Source organism: Homo sapiens, chromosome 16, assembly GCF_000001405.40.
Source record: "Homo sapiens chromosome 16, GRCh38.p14 Primary Assembly".
Lineage (NCBI taxonomy): Eukaryota > Metazoa > Chordata > Mammalia > Primates > Hominidae > Homo > Homo sapiens.
The window spans coordinates 35,746,155-35,765,034 of NC_000016.10; the positions used below are offsets into that span (position 1 = coordinate 35,746,155).

General features: G+C 48.1%; 1 long non-coding RNA gene and 13 pseudogenes across 1 annotated transcript; all 14 read left to right on the forward strand.

The window, feature by feature from the left end:
* Window positions 369-482, forward strand: RNA5SP411 (RNA, 5S ribosomal pseudogene 411; annotated as a pseudogene).
* Window positions 398-10,470, forward strand: LINC02167 (long intergenic non-protein coding RNA 2167). The gene is made up of 3 exons (NR_033985.1): window positions 398-672; window positions 2,607-2,683; window positions 9,225-10,470. It is a non-coding gene; the product is annotated as a long intergenic non-protein coding RNA 2167 (long non-coding RNA).
* Window positions 618-740, forward strand: RNA5SP412 (RNA, 5S ribosomal pseudogene 412; annotated as a pseudogene).
* On the forward strand, window positions 878-986 carry RNA5SP413 (RNA, 5S ribosomal pseudogene 413; annotated as a pseudogene).
* Window positions 2,366-2,501, forward strand: RNA5SP414 (RNA, 5S ribosomal pseudogene 414; annotated as a pseudogene).
* RNA5SP415 (RNA, 5S ribosomal pseudogene 415) lies at window positions 3,907-4,021 on the forward strand (annotated as a pseudogene).
* Window positions 5,420-5,530, forward strand: RNA5SP416 (RNA, 5S ribosomal pseudogene 416; annotated as a pseudogene).
* Window positions 5,674-5,781, forward strand: RNA5SP417 (RNA, 5S ribosomal pseudogene 417; annotated as a pseudogene).
* RNA5SP418 (RNA, 5S ribosomal pseudogene 418) lies at window positions 6,672-6,788 on the forward strand (annotated as a pseudogene).
* On the forward strand, window positions 7,642-7,776 carry RNA5SP419 (RNA, 5S ribosomal pseudogene 419; annotated as a pseudogene).
* On the forward strand, window positions 7,892-8,028 carry RNA5SP420 (RNA, 5S ribosomal pseudogene 420; annotated as a pseudogene).
* Window positions 8,401-8,534, forward strand: RNA5SP421 (RNA, 5S ribosomal pseudogene 421; annotated as a pseudogene).
* RNA5SP422 (RNA, 5S ribosomal pseudogene 422) lies at window positions 8,769-8,879 on the forward strand (annotated as a pseudogene).
* RNA5SP423 (RNA, 5S ribosomal pseudogene 423) lies at window positions 9,023-9,131 on the forward strand (annotated as a pseudogene).
* Window positions 10,471-18,880: the final 8,410 nt, after the last annotated feature.

Sequence of the window (18,880 nt, forward strand, 5' to 3'; positions counted from 1 at the left end):
CCTCTGACTCTCTGCCCACCCCCCGTTTCTGCCCACCTGCACCCCCACCATGGCCTGGGACCTCCCCATGGGGGTTTGTTTTGGGCAGCCCCAGGGCACCATAGAAGCCTGAAGGTGCCCCAGCCTAGAAGCTACCCAGCCCAGAAGCTAAGCAGGGTTGGGCCTGGCTGGGGCTTGGATAGGGGAACGCCTAGGGAGACCTGGGGCTGGAGGCTTTTGACTTCCCTGCTCCCTTCCCACTTTCCCCCGCTCCCTTCCCACTTTCCCCCGCTTGTCGCAACTCTTCCTAACTGCACCCTGACTCTCTGGCCCCTCCCTTTCCTGCCCACCTGCACCAACACCACGGCCTGGGACCTCCCAGTGGGGGTTGGTCCTGGCAGCCCCCGGGCGCCATAGCAGCCTGAGGGTGCTCCAGCCCGGAAGCTAAGCAGGGTTGATCCTGGCTGGGACTTGGATGAGGGACCACTTGGGGAGATCGGGGCTGGAGGCTTTTGGCTTCCCGCTCCCTTCCCACTTTTCCCTGCTTGTTACAACATTTCCCGATTCTGTGACCCCCCCGCCACCCGCTTCCCACATGACTGCATTCTTGCTCCAGCCCAGGACCTCCTTTTGGGGCTCCATTTGGCCAGCCCCTGGGCACCATAGCAAACTCAGGGTGCCCCAGCCGGGAAGGTAAGCAGGGTCGGTCTTGGCTGGGACTTGGATGGGGGACCACCTGGGGAGACCAAGTGCTGGAGGCTTTTGACTCCCAGTCCCTTCCCACTTTTTCCCGCTTTTTGCAATGCTTCCCAACCGCCCCTGTTTCTCTGGCCCCACCTTTTCCGCCCGCCTGTGCCCTTGCCAAGGCCCAGGACTTCCCCATGGAGTCCGTCACAGCAGCTCCTGCCATAGCAACCTGAGGGCACCTCAGCCAGGAAGCTAAGCAGGGTCGGGACTGGCTGGGGCATGGGTGGGGGACTGCCTGAGCAGACCGGGGGCTGGAGGCTTTTGGCTTCACGCTCCCTTCTAGCTTTCTTCCCGCTTTCCCCTGCTTGTCATAATGCTTCCCAACCGCCCCTTGACTCTCTCACCCTTTCTTTGCTGCCCGCCTTCATTCCCACCACTGCCCAGGACCTCCCCTTGGTTGTTCCTCCTGGTAGCACCAGGGGGCCACAGAAACCTGAGGGCCCCCAGCCTGGTAGATATCAGGGTCAGGTCTGGCTGGGGCTTGGATGGCGGACCGCCTGGGGAGACCAGGGGCTGGAGGCTTTTGGCTTCCTGCTCTTTTCCCGCTTTCCCTCTCTTATTGCAAAATTTTCAATCTTGCCCCCATTTTCCACCCGCCTGCTCCTTCACTGCGGCCTGGGACCTACCCACAGGGGTCTGACCTGGCAGCTCTTGGGTAGCATAGCTGACTGAGGACGCCCCAGCCCGGAAGCTAAGCAGGGTCAAACCTGGCTGGGGCTTGAATGGTTGACTGCCTGGGGACAACCGGGGCTGGAGGCTTTTGACTACCCGCTTACCCCCGCTTGTTCTAATGCTTCCTAACTGCCCCCTGACTCTCTGGCTCCCCATTTCACACCCACCTGCACCCCTACTATGACCCAGGGCCTCCCCATGGAAGTCTGTCTCGGCAGCCCCCAGGCGCCATAGCAGCCTGAGGGCATCCCAGCCTGAAAGGTAAGCAAGGTCAGGCCTGGCTGAAGATTGGATGGGGGACTGCATGGGGAGACCAGGGGCTAGAGGCTTTTGGCTTCCCAGTCCCTTCCCGCTTTCTTCCGCTTGTCCCAACACTTCCCAACCACCCCCTGACTCTCTGGTACCCCCTTTTCCTGCCCGCCTGTGCCCCCACCATGGCCCGGGACCTCCCCTTGGGAGTCTCTCCCGGCAGCCCCCTGGCGCCCTAGCAGCCCAAGGGGGCCCCAGCCCGGAAGCTAAGAAGGGTTGGGCCTGGCGGGGCTTGGATGGGGGACTACAACCTTGGGGGAATGGGGGCTGAAGGCTTTTGGCTTCCCACTCCCTTCCTGCATTCTGTCACTTGTCACAATGCTTCCCAACCCTCCTTTTACTCTCTGGCCTTCTCTTTTCCACCAGCCTGCTCCCCTGTGAGTCCCAGGACCTCCCACCTCCGCGCGGGGGTCCGTCCTGGCAGCCCGTGGGCACCATAGCAGCCTGAGGGTGCTCCAGCTTGGAAGCTAAGCAGGGTCAGGCCTCCTGGGGTTTAGATGGGGGACCGCCTGGAGAGACTGGGCTGGAGGCTTTTGGATTGCCTCTCCATTCCCACTTTCCCCTACTAGTCACAATGCTTCCCAACTGCCTCTTGACTCTCTAGTACCCTGTTTCCCACCCACCTGTGCCCCCCCCCCCGGTGGCCCGCTACACCCCTCCCCCCGTGGAAGTCAGTCTCGGCATTCCCGGGCATCATAGCAACATGAGGGTGCCCCAGCCCGGAAGGTAAGCAGGATCGGACCTTGGTGGTGCTTGGATGGGGGACCACCTGGGGAGACCAAGGGCTGGAGGCTTTTGGCTTCCCGCTGCCTTCCCGATTCCCCGCACTTGTCTCAATGATTCCCAATAGCCTTCTGACACCTGGCCCCCAAATTCCCGCCCACCTTTGCCCTTTCCAGGGCCCAGGACCTCCCAGTGGGTTTCCGTCCCAGCAGCCCGGGCGCCACAGCAGTCTGACAGCGCCCCATCCCAGAAGGTAAGCAGGGTCGGGCCTGGCTGGGGCTTGGATGGGAGCCTGCCTTGGGAGACCAGGGGCTGGAGGCTTTTGTCTTCCCACTCTTTCTGCTTTCCCCCACTTGTCACAACACTTCCTAATCGCTGCTGACTCTCTGACTGCCCATTCCCCGCCTGCCTGCTTCGCCGCCGCGGCCCGAAACCTCCCCGTGGCGATCCATCCCAGCAGCACACGGGCACCATAACAGCCTGAGGGCGCCCCAGGCAGGAAGCTAAGCAGGGTAGGGCCTGTCTGGGGCTTGGATGTGGGGACCGCCGGGGGTGACCAGGGGCTGGAGGCTTTTGGCTTTCCTCCCCTTCCTGCTTTCCCCTGCTTGTCTCAGTGCTTCCCAACCGCCCCTTGAGTCTCTGGTCCCCCATTTCCTGCCCGCCTGTGCCCCCACCGCGGCCCGGGACCTTCCCGTCAGGGTCTGTCCTGGCAGCCCGGGGGCGCCATAGCTGCCCGAGCACGCCTGAGCCCGGAAGCTAAGCAGGGAGGGGCCTGGCTGAAGCTTGGGTGGGGGGACGCATGGGGAGACTGGGTCCTGGAGGCTTCTGGCTTGCTGCTCCGTTCCTGTTTTCACTCACATGTCACAATGCTTCCCAACCACCCACTGACTCTCTGGCCCTCCTTTCCCACCCGCCTGTGCCCCTGCCACCATCTGGTACCTCCCTGTGTGGGCATCCGTCCCCGCAGCCCTTTGGCGCCATAGCAGCCTGAGAACGCCACAGCCCGGAAGCTAGGCAGGGTCGAGCCTGGCTGGGGCCTGGATGGAGGACCGCCTGAGGAGACCCAGGCTGAAGGCTTTTGGCTTCCTGCTCCCTTCCCGCTTTTCCCCGCTGATCACAATGCATGCCAACCGCATCCTGAGTATTTGGCCCCCAATTTCCCGACCGACTCTGCCCTCGCTGTGACCCGGGACCTCCCCGTGTGGGTCTGCTCAGGGAGCCTTTGTGTGCCATAGCAGCCTGAGAGCGCCCCAGCCCAGAAGCTAAGCAGGGTCGGGTCTAGCTGGGGCTTGAATGGGGTCCGTCTGGGGAGACCGGGGGCTGGAGGCTTTTGGCTCCCCGCTCCCTTTCCGCTTTCACCGGCTTGTCGCAACGCTTCCCAACCGCCCCTTGATTCTCTGCCCCTTCACCCTTTCCCACCCGCCTGTGCCCCCGCCACGGACCAGGACCTCCCTGTGGGGGCCTGCCCTGGCAACCCCCGAGCGCCATAGCAACCTGAGGGCACCCCAGCCCGGAAGCTAAGCAGGGTTGGGCCTGGCTGCAGCTTGGATGAGGGACTGCCTGGGGATACCAGGGCTGGATGCTTTTGGCTTCCCATTCGTTTCCTGCTTTCCCCCGCTTGTTGAATCATTTCCCAACCGCCCCCTGACTCTCTGACCTCCACTTTCCAGCCCACCTGCGCTTCCGCCACAGCCCAGGACTGCCCCATGCTAGTCTGTCCCAGCAGCCCCCAAAATTCATAGCAGCCTGAGGTCACCCCAGACTGGAATCTGTGCAGGGTCTGGCCTGGCTGGGCCTTGGATGTGAGACCATCTGGGAAGACTGGGGGCTGGAAGCTGTTTGCTTCCTGCTCCCTTCCCATTTTGCCAGGCTTGTAGCAACAATAACCAACCACCCCCTGACTGTGGCTGACCCTTTCCCACCCTCCTGTACCCCCGATGTGGCTTGAGAACTCCCTGTGGGAATCAGCCCCAGCAGCCCCCGGGAACCATAGCAGCCTGAGGGTGCTCCAGCCCGGAAGTTAAGCAGGTTAAGGCCTGGCTGAAGCTTGTATGAAAGACCGCCTAAGGAGACTGGAGGTTAGAGGCTTTTGGCTCTCTGCTCCCTTCCCACTTTCCCCTCTTGTCGCAAGGTTTCCCAACCTTCCCCTCCTGACCCCCTGGCCCCCACTTTCCCACCACCTGCACCCCCAAAATGAACTGGGATCTCCCCGGGCTGTCCGTCCTGGCCCACAGGCACCGTAGCAGCCGGAGGGCGCCCCATCCCGGAAGCTAAGCAGGGTCGGGACTGGCTTAGGCTTGGATGGAGGATCACCTGTGGACACCAGGGCCTGGAGGCTTTTGGCTTCCTGCTCCCTTCCCGCTTCCCCCTCTTGTCTCCCTGCTTCCCAACCACCCTGTGACTCTGGCTTCCCATTTCCAGCCTGCCTGCACCCTTGCAAAGGCCCGGGCCCTCTCCGTGGGGGTCCGCCCCCCCAGCCTTTTGTGCCATGACAGCCTGACGGCACCCCAGCCAGGAAGCTAAGCCGGGTTGAGCCTGGCTGGGGCTTGGATGAAGGACAGCCTGGGGGGACCGGTGGCTGGAGGCTTTTGGCTTCTCACTCCCTTCCCACTTTCCCCCACTTGTCAGCCTGCTTCCCAACTGCCCCCTAACTCTCTGACTCCACATTTCCCACCCTCCTGGGCCCCCACCAGGGCCCGGGACCTCTCCTTTGGGGTCTGCCAGAGCAGACCCCTGCGCCATAGCAGCTTTAGAGTGGCCCAGCCCGGGGCTTAGAGGAACTCTAACCAGAGTCGAGCCTGGCAGGGGCTTGGATGTGGGACCGCCTGAGGAGATAGGGCTCTGGAGGTTTTTGGCTTCCCGCTTTCTTCCTGCTTTCTCTTGCTTGTTGGCCTGATTCCCAACAGCCCCCTGACTCTGGCTTCCCCTTAACTGCCCGCCTGCACCCCCGCCCTAGCCCAGTGCCTCCTTGTGGGGGTGTGCCCTGGCAGCCCTCGGTGCAATAGCAGCCTAAGGGCACTTGAGCTTGGAAGCTAAGCAGGGTTGGGCCTGTCTGGGGCTTGGATGTGGGACCGCCTGGGGAGACCGGGCTCTGGAGGCTTTTGGCTTCCCGCTTTCTTCAGGCTTTCTCTCGCTCGTTGGCGCAATTCCCAACCGCTCCCTGACTCTGGCTCCCTCATTTCTGCCCGGACCTTCTCCTCCGCCACGATCCTGGGCCTCCAGGTGGGGGTCCGCCCCAACATCCCTCGGCGCAATAGCAGCCTGAGGGCACCGCAGCCCGGAAGCTAAGCAAGGTCAGGCCTGACTGTTGCTTGGATGGGGGACTGCCTGGGGAAACTGGTGGCTAGAGGCTTCAGGCTTCTCACTCCCTTCCTGCTTTCCTCCACTTGTCACCCAGCTTCTCAACTGCTTCCTGACTCTCTGGCTCCCCCTTTCCCACCCGCCTGCACACCCACTGCGACCTGGGGCCTCCCTATGGGGGATTGCCCTGGCAGCCCTGGTGCCATAGCAGCCTGAGGGTGCCCAGCCCAGAAGCTAAGCAGGGTCCTGCCTCGCTGGGGCTTGGATGACGAGCTGCCTGGGGAGACTGGGGGCTGGAGGCTTTTTGCTTCCCAATCCCTTACGGCTTTCCCTGCTGGTCGTCCTGCTTTCCAACTGCCCACTGACTCTGGCTCTCCCATTCCAGTCCGCTTGCATCCCCGCTGCGACCCGGGGCCTCTCTGTTCGGGTCTGCCCCAGCAGCCCCCGAGATCCATAGCAGTCTGAGGAAGCCCCATCCTGGAAGCTAAGCAGGGTTGGGCTTGCCAGGGGCTTCACTGGGGGACTACCTGAGGAGACTGGGGTCTGGAGGCTTTTGGCTTCCCACTCTCTTCCCGCTTTTACCTGATTGTTGCCCTGCTTCCCAACTGCCTCCTCTCTGGCTCCCCTTTTCCCACCCACCTTCATCCCTGAGGTGGCCTGTGGCCTCCCGCTGGGGGTCTGCCCTGGCAGCCCCTAGCGCCGTAGCAGCAGGAGGTCACCCCAGCCCAGAAGCTAAGCAGGGTCTGGCCTGGCTGGGGCTTGGATGGGGGAGCGCCTGTAGAGACAAGGGGCTGGAGGCTTTTGGCTTTTTGCTCCCTTCCCGCTTTCCCCCACTTGTTGCCCCACTTCCCAACTGCTCCCTGAGTCTCTGGCTCTCCCTTTTGCCCCGCCTGATCCCCCACCGTGGCCCGGTGCCTCCTTGTGCAGATCTACCCCGGCAGGCCAAAGTGCCATAGTCGCCTGAGGGCACCCCATCCCGGAAGCTAAGCAAGGTCAGTCCTGGCTATCGCTTGGATTGGGGACCACCTGGAGAGACCAGGGACTGGAAGCTTTTGGCTTCCTGCTCCTTTCCTGCAATCCCTCACTTCCTAATTGCCTCCTGAATTCCATGGCTCCCCCTTTTCCGCCCACCTGCACCCTTGTCACATCCGGGGCCTCCCTGTGGGGTTTTGCCCCAGCAGCCCCTGGTGCCATAGCAGCCTGAGGGCGCCCCAGCCTTGAAGCTAAGCAGGGTCAAGACTGGCCGGGGCTAGTATAAGGGATTGTCAGGGGAGACCGGGGCCTTGGGGCTTTTGGCTTCCTGCTCCCTTCCTGCTTTTCCTCACTTGTCGACCCACTTCCCAACTGTCTTCTGACACTCTGGCTCCCCCTTTCCTACTCACCTGTGCCTCCGCGGTGGCCCTGGGCCTCCCCTTGGGGATCCACCCCAACAGCCCCCGGCACCATAGTAACCTGAAGGCATCCTACCCCGAAAGCTACCCGGGTCGGGTCTGGCTGGGGCTTGGAAGGTGAACTGCTTGGAGAGACCAGGGGCTGAAGGCTTTTGGCTTTCTGCTCCCTTCCCGCTTTCTCCCACTTGTCAGCCAGTTTCTCAACTGCCGCCTGATTCTCTGGCTCCCCCCTTCCCGTTAGCCTGTGCCACCGCCACTGCCTGGGACCTCCTTGTTAGGTTTTGTCCTGGCAGCCCCTGGCACCATAGCAGCCTGAGGGCGCCCCAGCGTGGAAGCTAAGCAGGGTCAGGCCTGGCTGTGGCTTGGATGGGGAACCACCTGGAGAGACTGGGGGCTTGAAGCTTTTGGTTTCTTGCTCCCTTCTTGCTCTTTCCCACTTGTCATCCCACTTCCCAACCACCCCCTGACTCTCTGGCTTCCTCTTTGCCACCAACCTGTACCACCAAGGGGACCCGAGGCCACCACATGCAGGTCCACCCTGGCAGCCCCCAGTGCCATAGCAGCCTGAGGGCACCCCAGCCTGGAAGCTAAACAGGGTCTGGCCTGGCTGGGGCTTGGAATGGGGACTACCTGGGGAGACCGAGGGCTGGAGGCTTTTGGCTTCCCAACCCCTTCCCACTTTCCCCCACTTGTCTTCCCCCCCTTCCCAACCACCTCCGGACTCTCTGGCTCCTTTCTCGACTGCCTATGCCTCCCATTGCGGCCCGGGGCCTTCCTGTGGGAGTCCACCCTGGAAGCCTCTGACACCATAGCAGCCTGAGGGTGCCCACCTTGGAAGCTAAGCAGGGTTGGGCCTGCCTGGAGCTTGGGCGGGGGAACCACCTGGGGAGACAGGCGGCTGGAAGCTTTTGGCTTCCCACTCCCTTCCCTCTTTCCTTCTCTCGTGGCTCCACTCCCCAACCACCCCCTGACTTTCTGGCTCTCCCTTTTCCACTTGCCTGTGCCCCTGCTGGGGCCCAGGGCCTTTCTGTGGGGGTCTGCTGCAACAGCCCCTGGTGCCAAAGCAGCCTGAAGGCGCCCCAGCCCAGAAGCAAAGCAGGGTCAGGCCTGGCTGGGGTTTGAATGGGTTACTGAATGGAAAGTATGAAGGCTGGAGGCTTTTGGCTTCCTGTTCCCTTCCTGCTTTCCCCCCGCTTGTCAGCCCACTTCCCAACTGCCCCGTGACTCTCTGGATCCTTTTTTTCCCACCCGTCTGGGCCTCCAACATGGCCCAGGACCTCCCAGTGGTGGTCCCCCTTGGCAGGCACTGGTGCCAATGGAGCCTGAGGATATCCCAGACTGAAAGCTAAGCAAGGTTGGGTCTGGCTGGGGCTTGGATGGGGGACCACCTGGGAAGACTGGGAGCTGGAGGCTTTTGGCTTCCTGCTGCCTTCCTGCTTTCCCCCACTTCTCAGCCCCCTTCTCAACAGCCCCCTCTCTGGCTGCCCCTTTCTTGCTTACCTGCACCCCCACCGTGGCCCGGTGCCTCCCCGTGGGTGTCCACCTCGGCAGCTTCCCAACTGCCACCTGACTCTCTGGCTCCCCATTTCCCGCCTACCTGCATCCCCGTTGAGACCTGGGGATTCCACCTAGGGGTCTGTTCCAGCAGCCATCAGTGCCATAGCAGACTGAGGGCACCCCATACCGGAAGCTAAGCAGGATGGGACCTGTCTGGTTCTTGGATGGGGCACAACCTTAGGAGACCAATGGCTGAAGGTGTTTGGATTCCTACTCCCTTCCTGCTTTTCCTCACATGTTGGCCCACTTCCAAACCATCCCCTGACTCTCTGGCTTCCTCTTTCCTGCCTACCTGTGCCACTGCCATGGCCCAGTGCCCCCCAGTGTGGGTCCCCCATGGCAGTCCCTGGCACCATAGCAGCCTCTGGGCGTCCAAGTACAAAAGATAAACAGGGTTAAGCCTGGCTGGGGCTTGGATGGGATACCACCTGGGAAGATCTGGGGTTTCAGGTTTTTGGCTTCCATTCCTTTTCACTTTTTCCTGCTTGTCGCCCTCTTCCTAACTGCCCCCTGACTCTCTGGCTTTCCCTTTTTTCCCATTTCCAGCTCACCTGCACCCCTGCTGTGGAAGAAAACCTACCTATAGGGGTACTCCCTGGCAGCCCATGAAGCCATAGTAGCCTGAAAGTGCTCAAGCCCAGAAAACAATAGTTACTTCTGTGAGATGAATGGAAACTATGTTCCAATGGGATCCAAAATGTCCCTTCAAAAATTCTACAAAAAGACTGCTTCCAATCTGCTTAATCAGAACAAAGGTTTAACTCCATGAGATGCATCCAAACATTGCAAAGCATTTTCACATATAGCTTTTTTCTAGTTTTTATCACGGGATATTCATTTTTTCACTATAGCCCCAATTAGCTCCAAAATGTCCATTCATAGATTTTACAAAAACAGTGTTTCTAACATGCTGAATGAAAACAAAGGTTTAACTCTGTGATATGAATCCACACATTGGAAAGTGTTTTCACAGATAGTTTGTTTCTAGGTTTTATCATGGAATATTCAGTTTTTCACTATAGGTTTCAATTAGCTCCAAAACATCCATTCGTAGATGCTACAAAAAGAGTGTTTCCAACCTGCTGAATCAAAACAAAGGTTTAATTCTGAGATAAATCCACACATCACAAAGCGGTTTCACAGATACCTTGTTTCTAGTTTCTATCGTGGAATGTTTGGTTTTCTTACTATGGGCCTCAATGGGCTCTGAAAGTTCCCTTAGATATTACAAAAAGATTGTTTACAACCTGCTGAATCAAAGCAATGTTTTAACTCTGTGAGAGAAATCCAAATGTCACAAAACATTGTTAGAGGTAGCTTGCTTCTAGTTTTCATCACTAGATAATCAGTTTCTTAATATAGGCCTCAATGAGCTCAGAAATGTCCCTTTGTAGATTCTACAAGAAGACAGTTTCCAACCTGCTTAATCAGAACAAAGGTTTACCTCTATGAGATGAATCCACACATTGCAGAGAATTTTAACAGATAGCTTGTTTCTGGAGTTTACTGCAGAATATTTGGTTTTCCACTATAGGCTTCAATGAGCTCAAAAATCGCCCTTCGTAGATTCACAAGAAGAGTGTTTCCAACCTGCTGAATCAAAACAAAGTTTTAACTCTGCGAGATGAATCAACATATCACAAAGTATTTTCAAGGATATCTTCTTTCTAGGTTTCATTATGAGATATTCCCTTTTTAACTATGTGTTTCAATGGGCTTCAGAATGTCCCCTTGTAGTTTGTTCAAAAAGAGTGTTTCCAACCTTCTGAATAAAAAGAAAAGTTTAACTCTGTGAGATGAAACCACATTTGAAGAGCATTTTGACAGATTGCTTGTTTCTAGGTTGTATCATGAGATATTTGTTTCTTCACTATATTTTCCAAGGGGCTCTGAAATGTCCCCTTGTAGATTCTACAAGAAGAGTGCTCCAACCTGCTGAATCAAAACATATGTTTAACTCTGTGAGGTGAATCCACACATCACAAAGCATTTTCACAGATAGCCTACTTCTAGTTTTTATTGTGGGATATTCAGTTTTTCACTACAGGCCTAAATGGGCTTTCAAATATTCCTTTGTAGATTCTATAAAATGAGTGTCTCCAACCTGTGGTATCAAAACAAATGTTTATCTCCGTGAGATTAATTCACACTTCACAATGCATTGTTTCTAGCTTTTTGTTGTTGTTGTTGGATATTCCTTTTTACACCATATGTTTCAATGGGCTATGAAATATCCATTCATAAAGAGTACAAAAAAAGTGTCTCCAACCTGCTGAATCAAAACAAAGGTTTAACCCTGTAAGATAAAATGACACATTGCAAAGCATTTTCACAGATAGCTTGTTTTTAGTTTTTATCATGGGACTTTTGGTTTGTTACTCTAGGCTTCCAAGGGCTCATGTCCCTTCATAGATTCTGCAGAGTGTTTTCAATGTGCTGAATCAAAACAACAGTTTTAGTCTGTGAGATGAATCCAAACATTGAAAAGCATTCTGAAAGACACCTTGTTTGCAGTTTTTATCACAGGATATTCAGTTTTCCAATATAGGCAGCTCTGAGATGTCCCATCTTGGATTCTACAATTAGAGTCTGTGCAACTGCTGAATCAAAAGAAAGGTTTAATTCTGTGACTTGAATCCACACATCACAAAGCATCATCACAGATAGCTTGCTACTAGTTTTTATTGTAAGATACTCGGTTTTTCACTATAGATTTAAATGGACTCTGAAACGTGCCTTTGTAGATTCTACAAAAAGAGCATTTCTAACCTCCTGAATCAAAACAACAGTTTAACTCTATTAGATGAATCCACACATTGCAAAGCATTTTCACGGATAGCTTGTTTCTAGTTTGTATAACGGGATATTCAGTTTTTAAATATAGGCCTCAATGGGCTCTTAAATGTCACTTCGTACATATCACAGAGTGCTTCCAACCCTGCTGAATAAAAATAAATGTTTATCTCTGTGAGCTGAATCAACACATTGCAAAACATTATCATGGATATCTAGTTTCTAATTTTTATCAAGAGATATTCAGTTTTTTACTATAGGCATCAATGGTCTCTGAAATGTCCCTTCATCGATTCTACAAAAAAAGTGTTTCCAAACTCCTGAATCAAAAAAAAAAAGGTTTAACTCTATGAGATGAATCCACACATTACAATGCACTTTCACAGATAGTTTGTTTCTAGTTTTTATTGTGGGATATTGGGTTTTTCACTATAAGCCTCAATGGGCCCTGAAATGTTCACTCGTAGATTCTATTAAAAAAAAAAAAAAAAGGGTTTCCAACCTGCTGAATCCAATCTAAGGTTTAACTCTGTGAAATGAATCCACACATCACAAAGAATTTTCAGATAGCTTGTTTCTAGTTTTTATTGCAGAATATTTAGTTTTTCACTGTAGGCCTCTATGGGCTCCAAAATATCCCTTCGTAGATTCTACAAAAAAAGTGTTTCCAAACTGCTGAATCAAAACAAAGTTTTAACTCTATGACATGAATCCACACACTGCAAAGCATTTTCACAGATAGTTCGTTTCTAGTTTTTATCATGGAATATTACGTTTTTCACTATACGCCTCAATGGGATCCAAAATGTCCCTTTGTATATTCTACAAAAAGAGTGTTTCCAATTTTCTGAATCAAAATAAAGGTTTAACTCTGTAAGATGAATCCACACATCGCAAAGCATTTTCACAGATAGCTTTTTTTCAGGTTTTTATTTCAGGATATTCATTTTTTTTCTGTGTGCCTCCATGGGCTCTGAAATATCCCTTCATGGAGTCTACAAAAGGAGTGTTTTAAACCTGCTGAATCAAAACAAAGTTTAACTCTGTGAGATTAATCCACACATTACAAAGAATCTTAACAGATTAGTTGTTTCTAGTTCATCGCAGAGTATTCGGTTTTTCAGTATAGCCATCAAAGGTCTCTGAAATGTCCCTTTGTAGATTCTACAAAAAGTGTTTCCAACCTGCTGAATCAAAACAAAAGTTTAACTGTATGAGATGAATCCACACATCACAAAGCATTTTCACAGATAGTTTGTTTCTAATTTTTATCACGGGACATTAAGTTTTTCACTATATGCCTCAATGGGCTCTGAAATGTCCCTTTGTAGATTCCAGAAAAACAGTGTTTCAAATTTTCTGAATTAAAACAAAGGTTAAACTCTGTGAGACAAATCCACACATCACAAATCATTTTCACAGATAACATTTTTCTAGTTTACATCGCAGGATATTTGATTTTTTTCTGTTTGCTTCCATGGTCTCTGGAATGTCCCTTCATAGATTCTACAAAAAAGAGTGTTTTAAACCTGCTGAATCAAAACAAAGGTGTAGCTCTGTGACATTATACCATACATCACTAAGAATTTTAACAGATAAGTTGTTTCTAGTTTTCCTCACAGTATATTCAGTTTTTCACTATAGCCATCAAAGGTCTCTGAAATGTCCCTTCATAATTCTACAAAAAGTGTTTCCAAACTGCTGAATCAAAACAATGGTTTAACTATATGAGATGAATCCACAAATCATAAAGCATTTTAACAGATAGCTTGTTTCTAATTTTTATCATGGGATATTCAGTTTCTCACTATAAGCCTCAATGGGATTTGAAGTGTCCCTTCATAGATTCTACAAAAAGAGGGTTTCCAATCTGCTGAATCAGAACCAATATTTAATTCTGTGGGATGAATCCACACATCACAAAGCATTTTCACAGATAGGTTGTTTCTAGTTTTTATCACGGGATATTTGGTTTTTAACTGTCAAACCCAAGGGTTTTGAAATGTCCTTTTGTAGATTCTACAAGAAGAGTGTTTCCAACCTTTTGAATCAAAACAAAGGCTTAGCTCTGGGAATTGAATGCACACAATTCACAGCATTTTAACAAATAGTTTCTTTCTAGTTTTTATCATGGGATATTTCGTTTTTCAGCATAGGCCTCAATGGTCTCTGAAATGTCCCTTTATGTATTCTCCAAAAAGAATTATGTATTTCCAAACTGCTTGATGAAAACAAAGTTTTACCTCTGCAAGATGAATCCACACATCACAAAGCATTTTCACAGATAGGTTGTTTTTAGTTTTTATCAGAAGATATTCCCTTTTTCACTACAGACCTCCATTGGCTCCGAAATGTCTTTACGTAGATTCTACAAAAAGAGTATTTCCAATCCACTGAACCACAGCAAAAGTTTAATTCGGTGAGATGAATACAAACATCACAAAGCATTTTCAAAGATAGCTTGTTTCCAGTTTTTATTGCAGGATAATTGGATTTTCAATATAGGCCTCTATGGGCTCTGAAATGTCCCTTCATAGATTTCACAAAAAGAGCACTTCCAACCTGCTGAATGAAAATAATCATTTAACTCTGTGAGATGAATCGAGACATCACAAAGCACTTTCACAGAAACCTTATTTCTAATTTTTATTGCAGGATATTAAGTTTTTCACTATAAGCCTCAATGGGCTTTGAAATGCCCCTTTGTAGATTCTACAAAAATAGTATTTCCAAACTGCTAAATCAAAACTAAGGTTTAATTCAGTGAGATGAATACATACATCACAAAGCATTTTCACAGATAGCTTGTTTCTAGTATTTATTGTGGGATGTTTGGATTTTCACTCTAGGCCTCAATGGGCTCTACAATGTTCCTTCATAGATTGTACACAGAGAGTGTTTCCAACCTACTGAATAAAAAGAAAGGTTTAACTCTGTGAGATGAATCCACACAGCGCAAAGCATTTTCACAGATATCTTGTTTCTAGTGATTATCATGGTGTATTCAGTTTTACACCATCAGCTTCAATGGGCTCCAAAATGTCCTTTCATAGATTTTACAAGAAGAGTTTTTCCAACTGGCTGAAGCAAAATAAAATTTGAACTCTGCTGATGAAACCACACATTGCAATGTATTTTCACACATAGCTTTTTTCTCGTTTTTAAGGTGTGATATTTTATTTTTCACTATTGGCCTCAATGTGCTCCCAAATGTCCCTTTGTAAATTCTACAAAAGCAGTGTTTGCAACCTGCTGAATGAAAATCAATATTGAACACTGTGCAATGAATCCACACATTGAAAAGCATTTTCACAGATAGCTTGTTTCTAGTTTTTCAACACGTGATATTCGATTTTTCACTACTGGCCTCAATCAGCTCTGAAATATCCCTTTGCAGATTTTATATAAAGAGTCTTTCCAATAGGGTGAATCAAAACCAACGTTTAGCTCTGTGTGATAAATGCATGCATCCCAAAGCATTTTCAAAGATAGCTTCTTTCTAGTTTTTATCATGAGATATTCTGTTTTTCACTATATGCCTCAAGGGGCTATGAAGTCTTCCTTTGTAGATTCTATAAAAAGATGGTTTCAAACCTGCTGAATCAAAACCTGCTAAATTTAACTCAGTGAGATGAATCCTTACATAACAAAGCAGTTTTATGGATAACGTGTTTGTAGTTTTTATCATGGGATATTTGGTTTTTCTCTATAGGTGTCAATGTGCTCTGAAATGTCCCTTTGCAGATTTTACAAAAACAGTATTTTTATTATGTTGCATAAAAAAACATGTTTAACTCTGTGAGATGAATTCACAGATCACAAAGCATTTTCACAGATAGCTTCTTTCCAGTTTTTATTGCAGGATATTCATTTTTTCTCAAAATGTATAAATGTGCTCTGAAATGTCCCTTTGTAGATTTTACAAAAATAGTATTTTCATTCTACTGAAACAAAACAAAGGTTTCACTCTGTGATATGAATCTACATATTGCTAAGCACTTTCACAGATAGTATGTTTCTAGTTTTTATCATGGAATATTTGGTTTTACAATATAGCTTGCAATGGTTTCAAAAATATCCCTTCATAGATTCCACACAAAGAGTGCTTCTAATCTGCTAAATGAAAATAAGTATTTAACTCTGGGAGATGAATCGACACATTGCAAAGCATTTTCACAGATAGCTTGCTTCTAATTTTTATTGCAGAATATTCGATTTTTCACTACTGGCCACAATGGGCTTAAAATATTCCTTCGTAGATTCTACAAAAAGAGTATTTCCAACATCCTGAATTTAAAAAAAGTTTAGCTCTGCCAATTGAATTCAAACATCACAAAGAAATTTTATAAATAGCTTGTTTCTAGTTTTAAAATGGGAAATTTGGTTTTTCACTATAGGACTCAATGGGGTCCAAAATCTCTTTTCATATATTCTAAAAAAAAAGTGTTTCCAACTTGCTGAATCAAAATAAAGGTTTAACTCTATGTGATGAATCTACACATCACAAAGGCTTTTCACAGATAGGTTGTTTCTAGTATTTATCAGGGATATTCAGTTTTTCACTATAGGCTTCATTAGGCTCTGAAACGTCACTTTGTAGATTCTACAAAAAGACTGTTTTTACCCTGCTGAAACAAAATAAAGGTTTAACTTCATGAGATGAATCCACACATGGCAAAGCATTTTCACAGATAGCTTGTTTCTAGTTTTTATCGTGGGTTTTTTGGTTTTTCACTATTGGCCTCAATTGGCTCTGAAAAGTCCCTTAGTAAATTCTTCAAAAAGAGTGTTTCCATCCTGCTGAATCAAAAGAGAGCTTTAACTTTGTGGGATGAATCCACACATCACGAAGCATTTTCACAGATAGCTTTTACCTAGTTTTTATCATGAGACATTTGGTTTTTCACTATTGGCTTCATTAGGCTCTTAAATGTCACCTCATAGATTTTACAAACAGAGTTTTCCCCTCTTGCTGCATCAAAAAAAAAAAAAAAAGGTTTAACTCTGTGAGATGAATTCACAGATCACAAAGCATTTTCACACACAGCTTCTTTCTAGTTGTAATAGTGGAATATTCAGTTTTTCCCTACAGGCCTCATTGGGCTCCAAAATGTCCCTTCGCAGATTCTAAAAGAAGTGTGATTCCAGTCTGCTGAAACAAAACAAAGGCTTAACTCTGTGAGATGAATCCACACATCGAAAAGCATTTTCACAGATAGCTTGTTTCTAGTTTTTATGTGAGATATTTTGTTTTTAATTATAGACATCAATGGGCTCAGAAATGTCCTTACGTAGATTCAACAAGATTGTTTTCATCCTGCTGGATCAAAACAAAGGTTTAGCTGTGCAAATTGAGTCCACACATCACAAAGCATTTTGTCTAATAGGTTGTTTCTAGTTTTTATTATGGGATATTTGGTTTTTCACTACAGGACTCAAGGGGTCCAAAATGTCTTTTCGTATATCCTACAAATAGAGTGTTTCCAACTTGCTGAATAACAATAATGCTTTAACTCTCTGATGAATCTATACATCACAAGGTGTTTTCACATGTATCTTATTTCTAGTTTTTATCATTGGATATTCAGTTTTTCACTATAGGCTTCATTTGGCTGTGAAATGTTACCTTGTAGATTCTACAAAAAGTGTTTTTAATCTGCTGTACCAAAACAAAGTTTTAACAGTGTGAGATAAATCCACACATCATAAACCATTTTTGAAGATCGTTTGTTTCTAGTTTTTATCACACAGTTATTCAGTTATTCACTATAGGCCTCAATTGACCCTTTTGTAGATTCTTCATAAAAAGTGTTTTCATCCTGCTGAATCAAAACAATGGTTTAACTCTATGAGGTGAATCCACACATCACAAAGTATTTTCACAGATAACTTGTTTCTAGGTTTTATCATGGAATATTTGGTCCCTACATAGTTTTCATAAAAATAGTAATTCCAACCAGATGAATGAAAATAAACATTTAACTCTTTTAGATAAATCTACATTTTGCAAAACATCTTCATAGATAGCTTGCTTCTAGTTTTTTTCACAGGATATTGAGTTGTTCACTATAGGCTTCAATGTGCTCTGAAATATACATTTGTAGATTCTACAAAAAGAGGATTTCCAACCTGGTGAATCAAAACTAAAATTTTACTCCATGAGATGAAAACACATATGACAAAGCATTCTCAGAGACAGCTTGTTTGTTGTTTATATCGCAGGCTATTTGGTTTTTCACTGTAGGCCTCAAGGGGTTCCAAAGTGTCCCTTTGTAGATTCTACAAAAAGAGGGTTTCCACCCTGCTGAATAAAAACCAAGGTGTGACTTTATTAGATGAATCCACACATCACAAAGCATTTTCACAGATAGATTGTTTCTATTTTTTGTCATGGGTTATTCGATTTTTCACTATTGGACTCAATGGGCTCCAAAATATTTCTTTGTAGATTCTACAAAAAGAGCGTTTTTAACCTGCTGAATAGAAACAAATATTTAACTCTGTGAGATGAATGCACACATCCAAACCATTTTGAGAGACAGTTTGTTTCTAGTTTTTGTTGCAGGATATTCAATTTTCACTATAGCCCTTAATGGGCTCTGAGTTGCTCCTTCATATATTCTACAGAAAGAGGGTTTCCACCCTGCTGAATAAAAAGCAAAGACTGGGCACAGTGGCTCATGCCTGTAATCCCAGCATTTTGGGAGGCTGAGGTGGGCAGATCACCTGAAGTCAGGAGTTTGAGACCAGTCTGGCCAACATGGTGAAACACCATCTCCACTTAAAATACAAAAATTAGTAGGGCGTGGTGTCAGACACCTGTAATCCCAGCTACTCAGGAGGCTGAGGCAGGATAATTGCTTGAACTCAGGAGGTGGAGGTTGCAGCAAGCTGACATTGTGCCATTGCACTCCAGCCTGAAGGACAAGAGTAAGGCTTCATCTGGAAAAAAAAAAATGATTTGACTTTATAAAATGAATCCACAGATTGCAAAGCATTTTTACAGATAGATTGTTTCTAGTTTTTATGGCTGGTTATTCAGTTGTTCACTACAAGCCTCAAAGAGATATGAAATGTCTCTTCATAGATTATTAAACAAGAAGGATTCTAACCTGCTGAATGAAAGCCAAGGTTTAACTCTGAAATGAATCCACAGATCAAAAAGCATTTTCACAGATAGCTCGTTTCTAGTTTTTAGTGTGGTATATTTGGGTTTTCACTATAGGTCTCAATGGACTCCAAAATGTCCCATTGTGGATTCTACAAAAAGAGCGATTCCAATTTTCTGAATATAAACTAAGGTTTAACTCTGTCAGATGAATGCACACATCACAAAGCATTTTCACAAATAGGTTGTTTCTAGTTTTTATTGTGGGATATTCAGTTTTTCACTGTCAGTCTCAATAAGC